This window comes from Homo sapiens, chromosome 12, assembly GCF_000001405.40.
Source record: "Homo sapiens chromosome 12, GRCh38.p14 Primary Assembly".
Lineage (NCBI taxonomy): Eukaryota > Metazoa > Chordata > Mammalia > Primates > Hominidae > Homo > Homo sapiens.
This window is the reverse complement of record NC_000012.12, coordinates 119,109,664-119,131,274: the sequence shown is the minus strand read 5'-3', so window position 1 is coordinate 119,131,274 and position 21,611 is coordinate 119,109,664. Positions and strand designations below refer to the sequence as shown.

At 45.3% G+C, this 21,611-nt stretch overlaps 1 protein-coding gene and 1 long non-coding RNA gene across 2 annotated transcripts in view; one reads left to right on the top strand and one right to left on the bottom strand.

Annotated features, from left to right (window-relative positions):
* The window catches only part of SRRM4 (serine/arginine repetitive matrix 4), a 181,511-nt gene that overhangs the window by 31,777 nt on the left and 128,123 nt on the right, over window positions 1-21,611 (bottom strand). The window contains exons 3-8 of the mRNA NM_194286.4: window positions 16,911-16,997; window positions 14,267-14,338; window positions 10,999-11,025; window positions 9,155-9,205; window positions 5,796-5,894; window positions 441-597 (exon numbers count right to left, since the gene is read on the bottom strand). Of these exons, the coding sequence (NP_919262.2) occupies window positions 441-597; window positions 5,796-5,894; window positions 9,155-9,205; window positions 10,999-11,025; window positions 14,267-14,338; window positions 16,911-16,997 (493 nt within the window). The remainder of the gene's footprint in view (window positions 1-440; window positions 598-5,795; window positions 5,895-9,154; window positions 9,206-10,998; window positions 11,026-14,266; window positions 14,339-16,910; window positions 16,998-21,611) is intronic.
* LOC105370021 (uncharacterized) lies at window positions 6,305-20,398 on the top strand. Its single transcript, XR_945429.3, has 3 exons — window positions 6,305-6,378; window positions 14,316-14,388; window positions 20,312-20,398. It is a non-coding gene; the product is annotated as an uncharacterized LOC105370021 (long non-coding RNA).

Sequence of the window (21,611 nt, the reverse complement as noted above, 5' to 3'; positions counted from 1 at the left end):
CTGCCAACCAATGCTGCCAGCCAGCTGGCATAAAAGATGCAGACTTCATGTAAAAGCTGGAGTGCCTCTGTTATGTCAAAGAGCCCTTCTTTTCCTTTCTCTCCCAAAAACAAACAAACAAACAAAAAATCCTCCTATGGTATCTTAAACATGTCTTCCTGCAGATATCACTCTGGAGACAGGTATTTATTTGTCAACATTCCCCTGATAAAAAGACTGGGTATTTAGTTTTTCTCCCCCTGCCCCCCAAAATCCCCAAGCCAGTGTTGCCAAAGTCTGGTGAATGATCATTTGGTTCATCATTAATGAGGTCTGGAGCCAGTGGGATATTTTGTCAGAAATTGAATTAAAGTGTACCATACACTGCCCTGAACTTGTGCCTCCACATTCCCCAAGTGTCGTGGCCAAGGCTGGCAGAGGAGGCTGTGAAGAATACTTACTACACCCCTGGCTGACAGGTAGCCAAGCATCTGGAGGGGTTGACTGGGCGGGCGACTGGACTGGGCCTCAGGGCTGTCCTTGCAGAGGGTCTTGGAGCAGCGGCGGGAGTGCCTTCGGCGGGACTTCTGCCCTTCCTCAGGGGACCGGCCGCGGTGCCTGGGGATGGGGGAGAGAGACCTGAGGGTCTTTTGAAGGGGAGCATGGTAGGGAGATGTATGCAGGACCAACAGGATCTGAGGATGATAAAGTGTGTTTGGGGGTGTTTGTATATGTTCATATGTGATATTGTTCCTAGGTATGTCTGCATGTGTGTGTATGAAAGCTGGACTGTGTGTATATTCATTTATTTATTCATTCATCCATTTAACCATCCATTCATCCATTTAACCATCCATCCATCCATCCATCCATCCATCCATCCATCTGTCTAAGCAACCATCTATTCATCCATCTAACTAGCCATCTCTCAATCATCCATCCATCAATCCAACCAATCATGTATCCATCCATCCCTCCATCTAACCATCCATCCATCCATCCATCTGTCTAAGCAACCATCTATCCAGCCATCTAACCATCCACCCAATCATCCATTCATTCATCTATCCATCCATCCATCTATCTGTCTAAGCAACCATCTATCCATCATCCACCCATCCAACCATTCATTCATCTATCCATCCATCCATCCGTTCATCCACTCATCCATCCATCCATCTAACTATTCATCTATTCATCCGTCCATCCAATCATCCAACCATCCATCCATCCGTTTATCCATCCAACTAACCAACCAACCACTCAGCCAACCATCTATGCATTCATCCATCCATCCATCCATCCATCCATCCATCCATCCATCCATCCATCTGTCCTTCCTTCCATCTGTTCATCCATCCAACTAACCATCTAACCATCCATCCATCCATCCATCCATCCATCCATCCATCCATCCATCCATTTGTCCAACTAACCATTCATCCATTCATCCATCTAACCATTCAGCCATTCATCCATCCATCTACCTAACCAACAATCTATTCATCCATTCATCCACCTATCCATCCATCTATTCATTCCTTTATTTATTCATTCTCTTACTTGTTCATTTGACAAATACTACTTCATGTACCTGGAACTGCTTTAGGGTCTGAGGATGCAGCTTTAAAAACAGAAAAGGTCCCCATCCAGATTCAGTTATTCAGTTTAATGTCACTTGTGTACCTCTCTGATTGTCTGTCATGTGACTATGTGTATGTCTGGGTGTGTCCATCTGTGTTTCCATGTGTTTGTCTATAAATGTAACTGTGTATAACTGTGTGTCTTTGTGTATGTGACTTTGCCATCTGTGAAATAAAGACATCCTGTTGACTGTCACCCAAAACTTTAGTGAAAAAAAAATGGCTGACAAAAATGACAGAGATGCCTTCTGCAAGTTTGTCACGTCTAGATCTGGCTGCTTGGTCTGCAGTAAAAACCAAAGGCATGTCTGACTTCTTAGAAAGGGCATGCTTAGACTCTGCATATCTTATTAGTTATCTGAGCCACCAAAGTAATAAAAATAGCACATTATGGATTTGCAAGGTATGTATACACCTCTCGAAGCAGTTTCACAGTTTTCCCTACAACTTGAAGACATAGACAGGGCAAGGTATTACTTTCCCATTTTACAGATGAGGGAGCCGAAGCTCAGAGATGTTTAGGGATCTTCCTGAGGTCAAACAGCCTGAAAGTGGCAGAGCAAGGGCCAGGGCAGTTTTTTGCCCCTCTAGGAACTAGCGCCTGGGATTCATGCCCTGGAGTGCCCCTGACTGCTCTGTGGCTTGAAAATCATGTTTCTACTGAATGTGTAACCTGCGTGCCAGCTCTCAGTTTGCTTCCATTTCTGCTAGGAAGCTCCTCAGCTCAGTAGGCACTGGGAGCTCAGATGCCAACACCATCAGGAGGAGATGGGACAGCAGAGGAGGCCCGGGGTAGTGTTTGTGATGTTAACCATTTATTTAACAGGTAAGTTGCTAAAGCCTTGTATGATTCTCTGGCCCAGGCCAGTAGGGCTTAGCTGCCGAGAGATAATTCAGCCTGGGGTGTAGGTGAAGTGCTCAGGCTGAGTCACACTAACCTGGTGCCTATTCCAGCTCTGCCAGACACTTCCTAGCTATGTGACCTCGCTCAGATCCCTTTGCCCACCAAAAGGCAGTTGTCTCTGCTGTAACAGATCAGAGATGTGTTTTAGCTCATTTGGCCAATGTCCTCCAGAAAAAGGCCACCAGGAGTCCACCTGGGGTTGAACAAACATTGTTGTCACTCCTTCATACCATAGGGAAGTTTCAGGCGTCTCTGTAAGGGGGTGTTAAAAAGAACCTATTATAGGCTTTGGGCTGGTGATAGGTGGTTTGGGGAGCATTTACAGATCTGGAGCTTTGTTCAGAATTGGATGCTGCCAGGAAGTGGGGGTAATTCTGACTGGGTGTCTTCATCAGTCTTATTTAGAAAGAGGGAGGACTAGACCGAGGCTAAGGCTGACTGCCGAGGAAGCAGCAGTCACTCATATTAGGCAGGGTAGAGAGATGCTTGGTCACTTTTGTGTTTTGCGGTGTTCTCATCTGGGCTCAGACTTGATTACAGAGGGGGCTTAGTTTTGTCTTGAGCAATCAGGGCTGCAGAGTGGCCTTGTTGGATGGTGATATTCTTGGAAATTATTGATGTTCAGCAGAAACACCAAGGCCTAATTGTGATAGTAGGTACCAAGGGCCTCTTCCTCAAATGCTTCCCACACATCACCTGGGGGGATTTAAAAATCTCACTGTTCTGGTCTCATCTCATCTGGATTAAATCAGAATGTTGAGAGGGTGGGATCCAGGCATTGGCATCTTTTAAAACTTCCCAAGTGATTGAAAAGGGCAGCCGAAGTAGACAAGCACCAGCATAGCACGTAGTATTATCAGAATGATGAGAGAGAAAATGTATTGAAAATCTTAGCACAGTGTCTGACACAGAGCAGGATTTGGGTAAATATTCCTCTCCTGCCTCCTCTTTCTCCTTCTCCCCCTTCTACCTTCTCCTTCTCCCTTTTTCTTCCTTTCTTTTCTTTTCTTTTTTTTTTTTGAGACAGACTTTCACTTTTGTCACCCAGGCTGGAGTGCAATGGTGCAATCTTGGCTCACTGCAACCTCCGTCTCCTGGGTTCAAGTGATTCTCCTGCCTCAGCCTCCCGAGTAGCTGGGATTACAGGTGCCCACCACCACACCTGGCTAATTTTTGTATTTTTAATAGAGACAAGGTTTCACTATGTTGGCCAGGGTGATCACTAACTCCTGACCTCAGGTGATCTGCCCACCTCGGCCCCCCAAAGTGCTAGGATTACAGGCGCGAGACATTGTACCTGGCTCCTCCTCCCTTTTCCTATAGATATTCTGCTTTATTTGGGAAAAGTGGGGCCAGGGCAATGACATTTTAAAATCTACCCTTGTGATGTGAACGGAGAGTCAAGTGTGAGATGCATTTCAGAAAGAAAAAAGCAGCTCCTCACATCTGGAAGCTGGAGGTCTCAGTGTCCCCATTGAACATCAACGATTCCAAACACCAATAAAGCCCCAGTTCTTTTTTTTAAATTTATTTATTATTATTATACTTTAAGTTTTAGGGTACATGTATACAATGTGCAGGTTAGTTACATATGTATACATGTGCCATGCTGGTGTGCTGCACCCACTAACTCATCATCTAGCATTAGGTATATCTCCCAATGCTATCCCTCCCCCGTCCCCCAACCCCACAACAGTCCCCAGAGTATGATGTTCCCCTTCCTGTGTCCATGTGTTCTCACTGTTCAGTTCCCACCTATGAGTGAGAATATGCGGTGTCTGGTTTTTTGTTCTTGCGATAGTTTACTGAGAATGATGATTTCCAATTTCATCCATGTCCCTACAAAGGACATGAACTCATCATTTTTTATGGCTGCATAGTATTCCATGGTGTATATGTGCCACATTTTCTTAATCCAGTCTATCATTGTTGGACATTTGGGTTGGTTCCAAGTCTTTGCTATTGTGAATAATGCCGCAATAAACATACGTGTGCATGTGTCTTTATAGCAGCATGATTTATAGTTAAAGCTCCAGTTCTTATTCTTGCTCTTCTCCTTCCCTTCCTCCTTCTTCTCATCAACAAGATGCCTTCTCAGGTTGGGACAACCAATGTATTAGCATAGAGAGAGTCCAGGTTAGGAGAAAACTGAGTTGAAAAGGCATTAGAGTGAACTTTCTACTTTGCACTGTTTGGGTTTACATAGTTTGCTTAGCTTCTCTGTGCTTAGAGTGGTCCCTTAGTGAAGTCTAGAGCCATGTTCCCTGATTTCAATCCTAACTGTCACTTAGTTGCTAAGAGACTAGTAAAGTCCTTAACCCCCCCATGCCTCAGTTTTCTCATATTTAAAATGGGGATAACAATAATGCCCACTTGTTACGGTTGTAGAGAGGATCCTGCAAGTGGATGTACAAAGAGCAGCTAGAGCTGGGGGCGGTGGCTCACACCTGTAATTCTAACACTTTGGGAGGCCGAGACGGTTGGATCACTTGAGGTCAGGAGTTTGAGACTAGCCTGGCCAACACGGTGAAACCCTGTCTCTACTACAGATACAGAAATTAGCCAGGTGTGGTGGCGGGCGCCTGTAGTCCCAGCTACTCTGGAGGCTGAGGCAGGAGAATCGCTTGAACCCAGGAGGTGGAGGTTGCAGTGAGCCAAGATCGCCCCCCTGCACTCCAGACTGGGCTATAGGGTGAGACTCTGTCTCAAAAAAAAAAAAAAAAAAAAAAAAAAAGCAGCTAGTATGGTGTTGTCATTCCTATAAGTGATGGCAGCAAGACCTTTTGGTCTCCAGCCCTTTCTCTTGTTTTTGTTTTTGTTTTTGTTTTGAGATGGAGTCTTGTTCTGTCACCCAGGCTGGAGTGCAATGGCGTGATCTTGGCTCACCACAACCACCATCTCCTGGGTTCAAGCGATTCTCCTGTCTCAGCCTCCAGAGTAGCTGGAATTAAAGGTGCCCACCACTACGCCCAGCTAATTTTTTGTATTTTTAGTAGAGACAGGGTTTCACCATATTGGCCAGGCTGGTCTTGAACTCCTGATCTCATAATTTGGCCACCTCGGCCTCCCAAAGTGCTAGCATTACAGGCGTGAGCCACCGCACCCAGGCTCTCCAGCCCTTTCTCTACAGGGAAGTGGTGCCAGCTGCTGAGTCTGAGGAAGGGGGCCAAACCCTGTGCTGGAAGTGTGGAGGCGAAGCTAGTGTTAACAGTGTCTTAGCCTGGGCTCGGCTGTGGCTGACAGAAGAGGATCCTGGGGCAAGGGGTTACCTGCTCTCACAGCTTGAGGGGCGGGACTCCGAGCTCTGGGACCGCGAGGGGCAGCGGTGATGGCGGTGGCGGTGAGACTTTCGGGGCCGGCTTCGAGATCTTGGGGGGATGAGAAGGAACGAGTCAGAGGAGAGGAGAGAGAGAGTAAAAAAGGGAGAGTGAGAGATTTGATCTTGTGACACCCGTTTTTCCTTTGCACTGGTCACCATCCCTCCCGAAGTTCTCCATCTCCCTCAACCCCATGCGTTAGTCCAGCTTCCTGCCTGGGTATTGGGTGGAGGGTTCCGTAACCAATGGTACTGAATACGGGTGAGCAGAAAGGGGTCCTCTGAAGGGAGTGTGGATGACTCAGGGCCCTCCCTGCTCCCCAGATGACACCCTAGGCAGAAAGTCACTTCCCCATGTCTCCTCTGCATCACTCAAGGCAGGCGCCTCAACGTCACAGAGCTTCAGGGGCCATTCAGGCAGCATAAATATGTGGATCAGCCCAGCACTAACATAATATCAACCGGAGGCCCGAGTTAAAACAGAAGGTGCTGCTTTGCCTCCAGAATATTTGTGTGGTGATCCTCTAATTTTTCAAGTGAGTGTGGAAATACAGATTTTTAGGTAAAATGTTCTTATTTTAAATGGAAGCTTATTTTTTTTTAAAGGCACCTTTTTGGGCAAATGAAACACATTTGCAGAGTAAATTAGGCCTTTGGGCTGCCAATTTACAACCTCAGACCTGGAAAATTAAGTCCAGGTTCTTAGCATGGAGTCAAAAACCTTTCAGGATGGGCTACAAACCTCATTAAAAACAAAAATTAGAACAACACCAATTACTACCACTACCACTAACAGTGGTGTTACTGCAGGTTACTTCAGCTACTTCTAAGTAGTAATAATTCAGAAATAGTAGTGGCAGCGGCAGTGGTAATTGAAGATATATAAAGGATGTCAATGGTTTGGGCCAAACGAGAAAGCCAGTGGGAGTTAGAGATGATTCTGTTGGGAGGTAACTTGGTTATCTCAACAAAGGACTCAGGGATTCTTCTAATGTAATCATCAGACCATATCCCTTCCCTGCTTAAAACTTTCCCATTGCTCTCATATCAAGTTCAAACTCTGATCCTGAACCTCAGGCAGCTTCAGGAGCTAGCCCTTGCCTAGTTCTCTGGCCTCACTGCTTGTCTTCTTCTGCCCTGGCCTGGTGGGCTAAAGCAGCTCTGAACTGTATGTATGCTGGCTCACACATTTCCCAGTTCATGATGTCTTAGGGATGATGATGATAACAATGGTGATGATGACAGGTAACCCACATCTAACACATACTTCATGCCAGGCACTGTATTCTAAGCACTTTTCTTAAAGGGATTCATCTATTCTTCATAATAACCTATGAAATAGATTCTCTTATTATTCCCATCTTACAGATGAAGAAACTGAGGCACAGAGAGTTTAAACCACCTGCTTAACTTGCAGCCTGGAATGGTTACTTCCCATCCTCACCTGCGGCTTAGATGCTGCCTCCTGCGGGAGGCCACCAAGCCCTTTTCCCAGTGCCTGTGTTCCCACAATGCCCAGGGTTTCGTCTGCTGTTCTGTGACCAGCCCTATGTCTGGCTCCTGTGAGCTCTTCAAGGCCAGGACAGTGTCTGGCTCATCTCTGTCCTTGGGCCCAGCGCAAGGCCAGTCACATAGTAGGGCCTCATTAAGGGATGTTGAATGAAAGGAGGCTAACTCACTCCAGCAGCCACTTGCCTAGAAGCAGCCCTGACCGTAGACTTGGTAAGAATAAGCCATCGTTTATCTTGAATCCTCAAGATTCCTAGCCTTATTCTTCTTGTCTTTTTTCTCTCTTGCCTCTTGTCTTTTGGCTTCCACAAGCTTTCTGATGCCCTGCTAGCAATTTCTGGGGCTCATCCAGCTCTTGCCAGCGGGGAGGGTGGCCACCTTGCTCCCCTTACGCAGGCAGTCCTTATCTCAGTGATGGTCCTTCCTAGCGCTGTTGAGGTCTGGGCCTACCCCCTGACTCTGTGGCTGCCTACCCTGGGGCCCCACTGGTCAAGTGACACCGAGATTGCTGGGAACGTGTACTCTATCTGTGCTTAGTGTGAAAGCACATTCAATACACGTGGCCAATAATTGTCTCTTGACTTGAGCGGAACAAATTCGATGATGAGGAAGTTCTTCCCTCAGCTAACTCAAGGCTCTACTGCTTTCTTCTGGAGCATTCCCCAGGCCTCTGTGGTGGTGGCGGAAATGCCCTCCTTCGTCCTGACCTTGGGTGAAAAGACCGTTTGGGGCAGCAAAGCTGGGCACCCTCCCTCTGCATCCCTGCCTCCTCTTTTTCCTCCCTGGCAGTCGACTACCTTTCATCTTATTGTCTTTGATCCTCTCTTTAGAAGCTTCTTGGCAGGAGATAAAATATTAGTTGATTGGAAAACACACGCACTAACATTTGCAGGATATAAAGTAGGTAGGTTGTAACCAAATTTACTTTTAATTTGGCTGGGAACTGAACTCCACAGGCAGCAGTGGCTGATTTGAATTTCTACTACCAGCTATAAACTGTGAAACAGCTGGGGCCCCAAGACTGGAGCTAGGAGCTTAACTGACATCTCCACACTGTAAATCCAACAGTCAGCACATGAATTCATACACATGCTCACACACGTGCACCCATGTGCTCACACCCCCATGACCACCCATGCACAGGTAAAAACCACCATACGACCCCTGTGCACAAAATATACACAGGTACTTACACAGCGCACACACACAGTGCATAGAATTTAGTGTGTCCTATGTATACCATTCACATTCATGCTCACACAAGCACAGACACACAAATGCATTGGTGTAGGCACAAATATAGACCACACAATGTTCCCATATTGTATACATTTGTACACACAGTGTACAAAAATGTAAAAATGTACAGACATCTACAATGCATGCACTAGATATATACATACTATGTATAAATATACACACAAGGTATACTCATAAGGGACACACCAGGCACACACATGCACCCTTTCATGCAACATAAACAAGCGTGCATACACATACACATCATATACACACGACCCGGTGCATTCATACATTCCTAAACCTACAACACACGCAGTTATGCCTTTCTGTCCCTCCCTCTCCCCTTCCTTCCTTCCTTCCTTCCTTCCTTCCTTCCTTCCTTCCTTCCTGCCTTCCTGCCTTCCTGCCTTCCTGCCTTCCTGCCTTCCTGCCTTCCTTTCACCCGCTCACCTTCTCCTCCCTTTCCCTGTTTATTTGGCAACTCTAAGACTCTGGCTTTTAAGAAGCCAGATGCCCCAACTCCTCAAACTGATGAGTACATTCCAGGTAGTATCTACTTACTGTTTCTTGTGCCTCTTCTCATCTCTTCTTTTGCTTTTTGGGCTAGAGGAGCTAAACAAGAAATGGTCAATTAATTGAAAGATGCAAAATTCTAGTTAAAGATAAACAAGTAGTTAAAATGCTTAACACACAGTGTGAGATCCAGGCAGTTTTGGAATGGACACTGATCATTGCCTCAGACTGGAAAATTCACTGCCAACATTTTCATGCAGCAAATTCGGCTAGGGATACCGACGCACACACATATGTTGAGGATGGAGTGTGGAGGATGCCAAGCTCAGCTTTGCTAGGTTAATAATAATGGCAGCAATAAAGGTAGTAATAACAATGTCTGCCATTTTTTGAGACTTTAATTACAGTCTAGGCACTCTGTTGAATACTTTCGTCAACAACTTCATTTTATTCTCTCCACAACCTATGGGTGGAGGCACAATTTAACAAGTGCTCATTCTAAGCTGAACCTCAGATGGGCAAAGAAACTTGGTTAGGATTGCGCAGGTGAGCTAGGATGTGGCCATGGATCTGAGACCATGGATCCCCAGAGCCCATGCTCTTGACTGCTGTTCAATCAATTTATAAGAGAAGCAAATGGAATATCCAGGAAGATATTTGAACTCTCATGACGCTTGGTAGATTCTGAAATGGTCTGCCCATTCATATTCAAGTATCTGCGTTTAAATTATTTTTTGAGTCATAGGGCTAGGGTCTGAGTACAATGGATAAGAATGACTTGGGGTCTCAGTGTAATCAAATAGAGATCAGGGAGGATGAACACACTATTTGGTAGTTTAAGCTAGACTGGTTGCAGAGGGTCACCAAGAACCTATTACTGGCCTAGGACCTGGGAAGGGGCAATTTTATTTCATCTAACTATCTTACACCTTGAAGCCAGCCACAGGATCTATCTTCATGTTGAGACTCACCCTAGGCAGTGGGAGAGCCCAGGACCTTGCTGACAGATCCAAATTCAACTGGACCCAAGATCCGCCTCTGCTTCTTAGCTGCTGTGTGACATCAGGGTAGTTACCCGTCCCTTTAAAACCTGGTTTCTTCAACCGTGAAATGGGGCCATTACTCAAGCTGCAGAGCTGAGTGGACAGAGGACATTGGCAACCAATATCTACTTATTAAGTGAACAAATGACAGGGCTTTGCATTTTGCAGATTGCTCTAGATGTGGTTATTGTTATTTAAGAAGCCATCGTCACTCCCCTTACCCTCTGTCTACAGATTTGGGTTTGAATTTCGGCTCCGTTACCTTCTGGTTCTATCTGTGGACATTCCTGTGACATTCTATCTTAGTCTCAGTTTCCTCATCTGTAAAATGGGAACAATAAACATATCCACTGTGCAAGGTTGTGGTAGGGATTAATGAGAATTAAAAACATCTACACATGGAAGGGACTTAGCTCAGGATCCAGTTTGGAGTCAGGACCCTGTAAGTAATAACTATTTGTGTTCACCCAGTGTGTCCAGTATACGAGGACTTGGCCCTGTTCCTTGGCCAGATCTGGGAAGGTTTTGGTGGTGTGACAGGACTGTTTCCCTATGTGCCCCAGTTCAAGATTCCAACCAGTGGCAGGGGTAGTAATGAGACATTCTGGGGTCGAGACATCGATAGGGCTGGTCCAAGATCAACCCCCTGGCCTGATGGAAGTCAAAAGCTGGCTTGGAATACTCAGAAAAAACAGCCCAGACCTTCATTTTGGAGGAAACTGAGGCCCAGGAAGATGAAGGGGTCATGCCTAAGAGCACAGATGGAAACTGAGGGCTGACCTAGAAGCTGCCCCAAGCTGGCTGAGAAAGCAGAAAATTGAACAGGCAGTCAGAGAACAAGAGTCTTACCTGTGCCTTCTCTTCTTGGAGAATGACCTGAAAAGAAAGAAAGAAAAAAAATGAAAAGAAGAATCAAAGAAAAAAAAGGCAGAGAAAGAGAGGGAGAGAGAGAGAGATGGAGAGAGGGAGAGAAGGAGAGAAAGGAGGAAGGAAGAAAGGGAGGGATGGTGAAGGAAGGGAGGGAGGGGAAAACGTAAATATAGGTGAGTTTGAAAGTTTTTTTTTTTCCTGGTATGAAGGTATCAGCATGTTTGTGATCACGCTACAGGGGGTCGGGACACCTAGCTAATCCTCCTCCTCTCTTAGATTTCAGAGACTATGAAAATTGTATGGGAGATACTGGTTTGATTCTGAATTTCCAGATCAAAGCCTACCGGTGCTCCAATCCTCCCCCAAAACTGTCAGTAAATCTGTCCTGGATGAGGCTGGATAAGGAGAACGTAGAGAGAGTCTTCTGCCTTTCCCCTCCTCCATTCTCCATCTCATCTTCTCTCTCCCTTGTTGTGCATTCCTCCTCCTCCTCATCCTCATCATCACCGTCATCATCATGAGACAGCCAGCTTCCACATGTGGAACTCTTACTGTGTGCCAGGTTCTGTACTTAGCACCTGTCACGTACAATCTCATTCAATCTTCCCCAAGCCCTGTGGAGTACTATTAACAACCATTTTACAAAAACACTGACGATCAGAGAAGTTGATTAAGTTGCTCAGAGTCAAACAGCATCACCCATGTAGCTTCTTCTCATTCTTCAGTGCTCCAGTTGGAGGCCGTCTTCTCCTTGTAACATTTTCTGAGTCCCTCAGGCTGGTTGGATGCCTCCTGTCTACTCCCCCAAGCTCTGGGTGAGCCTCTGAGCTTATCATCATCAGGGTACAGACTTCTCCATATTAGAATGATCGATTTTCCCCACTAGAATGTGAGAATTGGAGGGCAGGGACTGGGTTTTGGTTTCTTTTCTGGGACTCAGAATCCTCATTCATGATACATAATGGGTGTTCAATAAATAGATGTGAAAAATCATTTTTTAAAAATTTTAATTTTTATTCTAAGTTCTGGGGTACATACGCAGGATGTGCTGGTTTGCTACATGTAATGTGTGCCATGGTGGTTTGCTGCACCTATCAACCCATCACCTAGGTATTAAGTGCAGCATGCATTAGCTAGAAAAATGAAAAATTTTTAAAAACTCAGAAGCCTTGCTAACTGAGGAGAGACAAAAAAAAAAAAAAAAATCTCAGTGCTTTCGCTACCCCTAGGTCCCATCTCCAAAAGTGTCAGCTATCATTCACCAAACATTTCAAGAGCCTGGAGAGGCTGGACCAGGAGTAGGATGGTGCTCGGGAGGTCAGGGTTTGGGAAGGAATAGCAACAGAATTTCCCCTCCTAATCATCTCCCTCATATGAACCCCCTACTCTGTAAAGCTCTAAGACCTGGGCTGACCGGGCAGGAAAAGCCTGTTTCTGACTGTCTGTCAGTGTCTTTCTCATGAGAAGGAATCTGTGAGTGAGAAGCCACTTGGCTTCCAGAGCCCAAATATGGGAAAGTTGTTCTCCCTTCCCCCAGCGAACCCCCAAATTGGGAGGAGCTGCTCAGCAAAGGGAGGTGATAAGGTGGCCATCTAGAATCATAAGTGTGGGCCATTGCCTCTACAAAGGACTCCACTTGGGGAAAGATTGCTGACACCAAATTAACAACATTTCACTAATTAGTTTGCCCATGCCTTGTAGTAAACACAAACTCAGATAACATCAGTCAGGAAGTCTGGGCAGGTGGTTGACATAACCAGTGAGAGCCAACTGAGTTTGAGGCCACTCTAGCAACCAGCACTGAGATGTGGTCATATCCCTGGATTGGGAAAAGCCACACTGGTGCAACTTTGAACTGGACTTGAGATGCAGGGGGAAGCCCCAAACAACCTCTTACCTCTCATTCATTCTGTTGTTAATTGCACAAGTAATCTACAATTGATGTAGGAAAATTGGATGATACGGATAAGCAAAAGTAATATATAAATCACTCTTTTCCCATTATCCGCAGCTCACTACAGCAAATAACTTGTATAGGGAGCTTCAAACTTCCTGCCTCCAGGGGCCAAGCAGGCTTTGTAAGTGGGTAGAGCAGGCTGGACAGGTCCTAAGGCCAACTGGAGCACTCTGTCTAAATGCTTGGCAACTCCTCAGCTCCAGGGGATGGTTGCTCGTGGGAAAATAGGCCCAGAGAAGACAGACCTTCTGACTCTACAGAGGAACTAGAAAACTGTATTTCTGTATTGCAGAATCTTCCAATTATAAAGTGTTGGTTTGGGCCATAAACCACAAACCTGAGCCCTCTGTTGTATATCCTTTGTTTGTTTGTTTGTTTGTTTGTTTTTTAGACAGAGTCTCACTCTGCTGCCAGGCTGGAGTGCAATGGAGCGATCTCGGCTCACTGCAACCTCTGACTCCCCGGTTCAAGTGATTCTTCTGCCTCAGCGTCCCAAATAGCTGGGATTACAGGCACGTGCCACCACACCTGGCTAATTTTTGTATTTTTAGTAGAGACTGGGTTTCACCATGTTGGCCAGGATGGTCTCGACCTCCTGACCTCGTGATCTGCCCACCTTGGTCTCCCAAAGTGCCAGGACTACAGTATCCTTTTAGTCTTTTCCTTCCCCTGTAAACATACACGTGTGTGTGTGTGTGTGTGCACAGTGAACACCAGGAACATGGGCCCAGTTCATGATGCGCTGTAACTACCGTCACTGCATCCCCATGCACCAGCATGGGAAATCTCAGCACAGCCATGTTTTTCAACATGATCTCATTCTCTAGCATGCAATGGACTGACAAGAGGGGCATTTCCTTGGGAATTTGGAATAAGGAACAAGACAGAGAGATTCAGTGTCTCCTTGCAACTTGGCCTGCAACATGGAGAGATGGGGCAGGGTGCAGCCATGTCCCTCATGGGGACCAGGAGACAGCGGGCACTTCAGGTCCCAGGTGGGTCCTGTCAGCTTTCCACTCCTTGTTCTAGCCCCTTGCTCAGGCCTGGCTGGTCCCTGAGTCACTCCTGCTTCTTTATAATCAAGTCCTCCTCTGGCCTCAGTTAGCATGTGTGGACCTCTAGTCTTCGCAGCCACAGTCCCAGCTTACACAAGACACAAATACGTAAAAAGACATAGATAATTGTTTTACATAAATGACATGATATGCTTCCAGATGACCTTTTAGTGCCATCAACTGTCCTCCCCACCCCACCTGGGGAGGTCTTGTTTGCAGAGAAAAAGGACAATACCTGCGTCGCTTGTGTTTCTTGGAACTTTTCTTCTTCTTTTTCTTGACAGGCGATGGGCTATAGGATGAGGACCTGCCAGGGCCAAGAAGACACATTTCAGAAGGAGGCTCTTAAAGGCCAAGGTTGGTTTCAAAAAGAACCTTCCCCAGTCCTTATACAGGGTTTTAGCTCTTGCAGGAACACACATCAAAGATAATATCCATGCTGATACTAGCTTGCATTTGTAAGCAATTTTTAATTGCTCACAAATTTAATTTTACTTTTCATTTGATTTTAATTTTTAACAAGTTAATGTAAACCATTACCTTGTGTTTTGTAAGCATTATCTCATTCAATCCTTTCACACACTTCTTAGGTAGGTACAATTGCTACCCTCCCTTTTCAGACAAAGAAAATGAAGTTCAGAGAGGTGAAGTGACCGGCCTAAAGACACACAGCTAGGAAGTAGATGAGCTGGGATCCCACTGGTTTTTGCTCTCAGTCACCATAGCACCTCACAGCTGCCTGCCTGGTCAAGCTGGAAAGGCTTCCTTCTGTCTGCTGTTCTCCCTTCAAGCTGCAACCCTCCTCTCAAAGTCTCAGGGTTTCTCCTTTGCCCCATCCTTTGTCTCCCTGGTAAGACTGAGCCCCTGAAGGATATCTTGCCAGGCTGCGGCTGCACGGATAGTGCCATCAAAGTGTTACCTGAGCAACAGAGCTACTCTGAGTCCATGGTGATGACTCAAGACTGAGGCTCAGGTGACCTAAGTTCCAATCTTGACTACTACCAACTCACAGAGCCACCTTGGGCATGTCAAGGCTCATCTCTAAGTCTCTTATTTCCCCGCTGACAAAAGACCAGGGTTGAAACAGATGAGAGGTTACAAATTCAATGCTAACAGGGCCCTCTCAGGTAACATGAATGGATGAAGCAGGCTGGGTGGAAGACAGTAGGGAGTAGTGGGGACTGTGGGGGAACCAGAGAGGTTCTGGCTGGAGGGGAGTCTGCTTCTCAGATTAGCCGAAGATCCTGTGTAGGAATTCAGGTCTGGGCTTCTACAGCACCTGCCTTTTCTAAAGGAGCCTCCAAAACTCCACATTTTCATATGAAATCTCCCGATTTGGAAATGTTGACCACCAATTAAAAAAAAAATCAAATCACTTTGCAGGTCAAACAAAACATGTCTGCAGAAGGGAATGGCTGAGAAACAATTCAGCCTTCAAGGAATCATAACATTTGTCCCCAGACACATGCTCAGTGAATATTCACTGGATGAACGAGTCAATTAGTGAATCTTAATATCTGAGGTTTCCTTTTTTAGAGTATTCTCTGGCCCACCCCTCAAATTAGGAAATCCAAAGCACTTGCCTCAATTTCATCTCCTACCCTACAATGGCTAGGACTCAGAGTCTTCATCCATATTTCCCCCTGGCTCCTCTTTGAGCCTGTCCTTTTAGAATGAGGCTAAGGGGTGTCTGTGAAACAAGGTTCCAGAAAACCTGGAGTTGAAGCCCAAGTCATCAGATGCTGCTCTCTGCTGCCCCCTACAGGTTTCTATAAATACTGCCTCAGAAGTTTGCTGTGATTCTCAGTTGGCAGCCTTAAGGGTTAATTTAAGCCTGCCCCTCTGGAGTTGGCACACTAGAGATGCTTTCAGTCTAGTTAGTGGCAGCCTACAAGCAAATCTGGAAATCATTTTAAATATAAAAAAATTTTAAAGGAATTGGACGTAGAAAAAATGCATAGGATACCAAAGAGTCAATAGCTGGCAAACAAACAAACAGCACCCCTCCCCTCCAACACCCACCTATTATCCTAGATATTGAACTAGTTAGGTGGGCGTCGTAGAACCAACTGAGAACCTGGCGTCAAGCCCCTGTAGATCCTGTCACCACCTCTGTGAGCCTTTATTTTCTCATCTCTAAAATGGGAATAATAATGCTTTCCTGGTAGACAATGGTCAGGGATAAAAGAGATAATGAAGACCACGGTGCCTAGTCTAGTCCTCTGCATCTAGTAAGCTCTCAAAAAATAATTCAATATTCATGCTAAAGACTATGCTTCCGGCCAGGCGCGGTGGTTCACGCTTGTAACCCCAGCACTTTGGAAGGCCGAGGCAGGCGGATCACAAGGTCAGGAGATGGAGACCATCCTGGCTAACACAGTGAAATTCTGTCTCTACTAAAAATACAAAAAATTAGCCTGGCGTGGTGGCGGGCGCCTGTAGTCACAGCTACTCGGGAGGCTGAGGCAGGAGAATGGAGTGAACCTGGGAGGCGGAGATTGCAGGGAGCCGAGATCATGCCAGTGCACTCCAGCCTGGGTGACAGAGCGAGACTCCGTCTCAAAAAAAAAAAAAAAAAAAAAAGACTATGCTTCCTATTAATTAGTCATTTACCATGTGCCAGGTACTGTGACAGCCGCTTCCACATTAATTTTTCATGTAATTTTCATGAAATCTCAAAAGGTAGATATTATCACCATTTTGGAGAAGTATAATAAAAACAGGAACAGAGATGTAAAGTGACTTGCCCAAGGTCACACAGCTAGTTAAGCATCAGAGAGGGGATTTGAACCCAAGAGGGAGCCACTGTCTGACTTTGAAACCCATATTTTGTCCCTGCCTGCATCTTACAGGTTTTATCTCCCTCTTGGTGCTCTTACCTCCTTCTCTTCTTCCGAGTGGATTTCTTCTTTTTCTTCTTTCCCCTGGAGGAAGGTGGTGGTGTCAAGTCTTTGTCATGAGAGGCACTGTGAGGAGCAAAGAGAGGAGCATTAGATAACTCATGGTTCCCCAACTCCCCAACCAGAGCTGGTGCAGCCAGGGAAGGACCCAGGTCCTTGGATGATCAAGGACCTATAGCCAGTGCCTCATTACCACCTCATGGCTGATTGGGTCACACTTCAGACTAAGTACCTAAATAAGGACTTAATGCCGAGTTAATGAGACAGACGTTGTACGTTACCCAAACACCAACTGATTATTAAAAACAGAGTTATAGAGGTTAACTACTCCTAAATAGATTTATTATTGAATTTGCAAATGGCTTGCCTTGGTAAATAAATCACTTTTTAAATAACTCATCAGCCGTTCAGCCCCCTCCCTCCCCAATATATCGTGTCCGTAGTTCCTGCTGGAAATTTAATAGCAGGCGGAAGGTATGTTAAGTAGCAGCTGATTATTAAAAGTATATTTGCCAAGGTCTAATGTAACGAGATACGTATCTTATATTGCCTCGCAGAACCTCAAAAACCTCCGCTCTTCAAGAATAATTATTTCCTGTTCAATTAAATTCAAATGCTGAGGCTGCAGTTAAATGAAGTCAAGTTATCTTCTTTTATAATTGGGGCAGGCTCCAGGGATTTTTTTAAAAACACTATCCCATGGCAAAGGAAGATGGTTTTAGATGAAAAACTGCTTGGGAATTGGAACATGCCAACCTAGTGGAACCTCAAGGGGAAAACATAATCTTACTACTAATATTGTCATTATTTCAGCAGTGACACAACTAGCATTTATGCGCTTGTTATGTGCCAAGTTTTTTTATATATTGGGATACAAACACTTTGAGAATGGTATGACTTTTACTGTCTTGAGCCTCAGAAAGGTTAATTAACTTGCTGATGGCTAGACAATTAGAATGTGTCCAGGCTAGGATTTGAATCAAGGCCTGTGTGATTCCTACCCTGAGATTTTCCCCACAAAACCAGCTGCCTTCTCAAACTTGTTTGTGTGGCCAATCATCTGGAAATTACCCAACTTTTTATAGAATATCATAAAGTACTGCTGTATTTAATTCCATTTTAAGAATCTGGATCATTGTGGTTAGTAGAAAGAATGATAAAATGGTTAGAATATATGCCAGGGTCTCTATCTTCAGCAAATAAGAATCATATAGCTATATTTATAATATTTTCAAGAGAGCCACTTTTTAAAAATTATCAGATGTCATTTTATTTAAACAGCTGGAGGAGAGACTATTTATATTATTGAGCTTTTCTACTAATTTGCTTTCCTGAATGTGGAACTTTTGATGTGCTGTTTTTTTTTAATTTTAATTTTAAATTTGTACATTCCGGGCTACATTTGCAGGATGTGCAGGTTTGTTACATAGATAAATGTGTGCCATGGTGGTTTGCTGCACCTATCAACCCGTCACCTAGGTATTAAGCCCAGCATGCATTTGCTCTTTTCCCTAATGCTCTTCCTCAGCCACCACTCTCCCCCAACAGGCCCCAGTGTGTGATGTTCCCCTTCCTGTGTCCATGTGTTCTCAATGTTCAGCTCCCACTTATAAGTGAGATCATGCAGTATTTGGTTTTCTGTTCTTGCATTGGTTTGCAGAGGATAATAGCTTCCAGCTTCATCCTTGTGCCTGCAAAGGACAGGATCTTGTTCATAGTATGGAATACTGCATAGTATTCCATGGTATATGTATACCACATTTTCTTTATCCAGCCTATCATTGATGGGCATTTGGGTTCATTTCATGTCTTTGCTATTGTGAATAGTGCTGCAATGAACATATGCGTGCATGTATCTTTATAATAGAATGACATATATTCATTCCTTTGGGTATATACCCAGTAATGGGATTGCTGGGTCAAATGGTATTTCTGGTTCTAGGTCTTTGAGGAACCACCATCTTCCACAATGGTTGAACTAATTTACATTCCCACTAATAGTGTAAAAGCATTCCTATTTCTGTACAACCTCACCAGCATCTGTTGTTTCTTGACTTTTTAATAATTGCCATTCTGACTGGCGTGAGATGGCATCTCATTGTGGTTTTGATTTGCATTTCTAAGAGGGTCCCTTTTAGTAGGTTAAAAATAAGTATCACAGGAATTAAGTACCTAACTACTTAACTACACTTATATGTTATAAAGCACAAGGCACAGTATGCATGTCCAGGAAGCAAACAGGATGCTTGTGTAAACAGGATGGGCTACTTCCAAATTCTTTTTTTTTTTCTTTTTTTTGAGACGCAGTTTCACTCTCTTGCCTAGGCTGGAGTGCAGTGGCATGATCTCAGCTCACTGCAACCTCCATCTCCTGGGTTCAAGCGATTCTCCTGCCTCAGCCTTCCTAGTAGCTGGGACTACAGGCCCCCGCCACCAAGCCAGGCTAATTTTTGTATTTTTAAAGTAGAGACAGGGTTTCACCATGTTGGCCAGGCTGGTCTCGAACTCCTGACCCCAGGTGATCCACTTGCTTTGGCCTCCCATAGTGCTGGGATTACAGGCATGAGCCATGGTGCCCGGCCACCAAATTATTTCCTTAAAGAGTGCTTGTCACAGGGCAAAAGCCTAATCAATATTTGCTGAGTGACCAAAAGAGAGAATAAATGAATGAAATAATTGAGCTTCTTGTTAAATCATCTTGTTTCATAGAAACACTTCCCAGTGCAACAGCTACTGGGAATTTGAGTGGGGAAAAAATGAAAGGAGAAAAACTTGAGAGAAAAAAAAATCTTTTAGAGTGTGTCTTACAAAATGAGGAAAGAGCCTATTGTTTCAGTCAGCTATAACTTCTGGAATCCCAGGGTCCCAGGAGAGCATGATTTGAGAACTTCGTCCTTGATTTGCATTTAAGTAATGGGGTAAAACTCAGAAAGCCCTTGAATTTGGAGACATTTGAGGTGTGTGAGATGGGGATCATCAACTCCCTCAATAAATCCCAAACGCCTTTACCCTGGTAGGTCTACATTTCTTCTACCCCCTATTTTTCCCTACACTAGTTCTACTTGTACCATCATAGAGGGTCAGGAAAGGGCAGAATAGTTGTTAAGTATACCCTGGTTACAGGTGCAGGGGTTAAGTACATAATGCTTGTGTATGCTGTGGTTACATATGCATGGCTAAATACAGTGATGAAATATATGACAGTTCAATAAGTATCAGTTGAGTATGCAGTGGTTACATGTGCAGCAGTTAAGTCTGTAGTGGTTAAACAAATGGTAGTTAAGCACACCTTGGGGAAGTAGCAGAGGTTAACTATTCAGTGGTTAAGTGCTCAGCAGTTAGGTACACAGTAGTTAAACATGCATCAATTAAATATGCAGTGGTGAGGAGGTTCCAAGGTGGCCGAATAGGAAGAGCTCCAGTCTACAGCTCCCAGCGTGAGTGATGCAGAAGACGGGTGATTTCTGTATTTCCAACTAAGGTACCGGGTTCATCTCATGGGGGCTTGTCGGACAGTGGGTGCAGCCCACGGAGCATGAGCCAAAGCAGGGCGGGGCATCGCCTCACCTGGGAAGTGCAAGGGGTCAGGGAATTCCCTTTCCTAGCCAAGGGAAGCCGTGACAGAGGGTACCTGGAAAATCGGGACACTCCCACCCTAATATTGCACCTCTCCAATGGTCTTAGCAAATGGCACACCAGGAGATTATATCCCACATGTGGCTTGGATGGTCCCATGCCCACGGAGCCTCACTCACTGCAAGCACAGCAGTCTGAGATCAAACTGCAAGGCGGCAGCGAGGCTGGGGCAGGGGCGTCCGCCATTGCTGAAGCTTAAGTAGGTAAACAAAGTGGTCAGGAAGCTCAAACTAGGTGGAGCCTACTGCAGCTCAAGGAGGCCTGCCTGCCTCTGTAGACTCCACCTCTGGGGGCAGGGCATAGCTGAACAAAAGGCAGCAGAAACTTCTGCAGACTTAAATGTCCCTGTCTGACAGTTTTGAAGATAGTAGTGGTTCTCCCAGCACAGAGTTTGAGATCTGCAAACGGACAGACTGCCTCCTCAAGTGCGTCCCTGACCCCCAACTAGCCTAACTGGGAGGCACCTCCCAGTAAGGGCTGACTGACACCTCATATGGCCAGGTGCCCCTCTGAGACGAAGATTCCAGAGGAAGGATCAGGCAGCAACATTTGCCATTCTGCAATATTTGCTGTTCTGCAGCCTCCGCTGGTGATACCCAGGCAAACAGTGTCTGGAGTGGACCTCCAGCAAACTCCAACAGACCTGCAGCTGAGGGTCCTGACTGTTAGAAGGAAAACTAACAAACAGAAAGGACATCCACACCAAAACCCCATCTGTACATCACCATCATCAAAGACCACAGGCTGATAAAACCACAAAGATGGGGAGAAACCAGAGCAGAAAAGCTAAAATTCTAAAAATCAGAGAGCCTCTTCTCCTCCAAAGGAACGCAGCTCCTTGCCAACAATGGAACAAAGCTGGACGGAGAATGACTTTGACAAGTTGAGGGAAGAAGCTTTCAGATGATCAGTGATTACAAACTTCTCTGCGCTAAAGGAGGATGTTTGAACCCATCGCAAAGAAGCTAAAAACCTTGAAAAAAGATTAGACGAATGGCTAACTAGAATAAACAGTGTAGAGAAGACCTTAAATGACCTGATGGA